This window comes from Homo sapiens, chromosome 12 (genome assembly GCF_000001405.40).
Source record: "Homo sapiens chromosome 12, GRCh38.p14 Primary Assembly".
NCBI lineage: Eukaryota > Metazoa > Chordata > Mammalia > Primates > Hominidae > Homo > Homo sapiens.
In genome coordinates, this window is record NC_000012.12 from 42755266 (window position 1) to 42757366 (window position 2101).

The 2101-nt window shown below is 40.8% G+C and overlaps 1 annotated feature.

Annotated features, from left to right (window-relative positions):
* Positions 1215-2101: an enhancer, noted in NCBI's record as "OCT4-NANOG-H3K27ac hESC enhancer chr12:43150282-43151168 (GRCh37/hg19 assembly coordinates)". NCBI's record gives its function as "activates a minimal SCP1, AML or CMV promoter by ChIP-STARR-seq in primed H9 embryonic stem cells {active_cell/tissue: H9 hESC(primed)}" and the evidence as "EXISTENCE:reporter gene assay evidence [ECO:0000049][PMID:30033119]".

A 2101-nucleotide genomic window follows, 5' to 3' on the forward strand; every position in this document is an offset into this window, starting at 1 on the left:
TGCTAAACCCCAATATATAAAACAGATGACTGGTATTTTATGACTAAATATCTTTATGAAACATATATGAGTTTATGTGAAATATATATATATATATGTATATAATAGGAAGATGTAAAGAACTCCTATTATCGGTATTATCAGTAAGAAAAAGACAACTCGAAAACCAAACATCGTATGTTCTCACCAACACGTGGGAGCTAAGCTATGAGGACACAAAGGTATAAGAATGATACAATGGACTTTGAGGACTTGAGGAGAAGAGTGGGAAAGGAGAGAGGGATAGAAGACTACAAATATGGTGCAGTGTATACTGCTCGGGTGATGGGTGCACCAGGATCTCACAAATCCCCACTAAAGAAGTTACTCTTGTGTACCCCAATAACTTATGGAAAAATAAAATAATAAAAAGACAACTCAATAGATAAATTCTCAAAGAGGATACCCAAATAGCCAACAAACATATAAAAAAGTGCTTAACCTCATTAGTCAGCAGTAGGGAGATCATATATCCCAGTTTGCCTATATTAGCCCCAGATTACGTTAGTTGCTCAGTTATTAAAAGCACACCTTTCATTTTCTGTTTAAAGGATACATTTTATGGTTGCCCTAACTTACCATGGAAATATGAATTAAAATCACAGTGACAAACCACTACGCATCAGAACTAAAAAGACTAGCAGTGCCAAAGGTTGGCAATGAAGTGGCGAAGACTAACTCTTATACTCCCAACAGCAGGAAGGTGTCCCGTGGCTAATTCACGACATTTCCATAATGGAACTTATTTAGGGATGTCGGGAGAGGTGACTGTTCATGCCAAGCACACTCTATTTTTGTCTTAGGGCTTTTAGAACCCTTTACCATGAGGTCGGTCTGAGTCTCCGCTCTAAGTTATGGAGCCTTGCCTGTGGAGTGTGTTTCAAGGCTGGTTTAGCTCAGTTTGTAGTTTACAATACGTACCAGTGAGCAATTTCATTAGCAATTTAGGTCAAGCATTAATTCAGAGTAAAACTTTGCTCAAACATAATGTTCCCTAGTCCTGTTCTTATAGTCAACTGAGTTATATACACATTGATATCTAGGAAGGGGATATCAGAAGCCTTCTGGGGGCAATCTCTCTGTATTCTACCAGTTCTCTGTGAACCTCACTTTCTCAGATCAGCAGAAAGGGAAGCATCATGAAGAAGTAAAGTGTTCTTCCTTGAGGCTGGCTCCCACTTTTTCCCATTTCATTTGTCTCATCATGTCTGCCTGATCCCCATCCAGGAAGAAGAGGGGCCAAGGACTCAGAATATCTTATTCTTTGGTGTAACACTAAGACCCCTTCTTCCACAAACCAAGGGACCTAACCAATTGCCCTGGCCTCCAAAAACTCGCAGAAACCTCTGCAGTCTACTTTGAAGCCACCATAAAGAGTAAATTCAACCAAAAAGTCTTGACATCTTTCTGGTTCTTCATTCAAAGAGAAATATACTTATTTTTTCTCTTTTAAATTAAATTGCAAGAGTCAAGGTCAAGTGGTCACCTGGAATTCCCAGCTGCATTATACTTTCTTCACTTTGTGGGTTCAAGTCAGACAATGAATGTGACTTCAATTTGCATATGTGGTGAAAATGGATTTTTGTCTGACTTCATCACACTTTCATCAGACAGGAGCAGGGCCTCCGCATCTTCTGACCAGTTCCATTTTTGATTACCTTTGCTTTGATGCTTGTGGATTTATTAACCAGCTAAGTGCTCACCAGAAACTTCAGCGCTGGGAGCCCTGGGCCAAAATCACAAAGTGCTCTTTCCCTCACACAAGGCTTTTGTTTAAACATTTCTTGAACGAACCAGCCTGTCAGGTCTGATTCTGTGGGAGAACATATTTGTAAGACAAAGCAATGTTGTGGCCTACCAGGAGGCCTATGACTCGCACGGTGAATTATTCACTCCTCTGCCTTGCTGGACAGGTCAGGTCACTGGTGTTCACAGCGGGGAGCAAGACATTATTCATTACCAGGCTTGGTTTGTTGTCTTCAGTGATCCCCTTCCCCCAGTGATCCCCTGTCAGGTTTTAACAAGCCATCACATTCTTTTAAACTTCCCCTGGGCAGCAGAG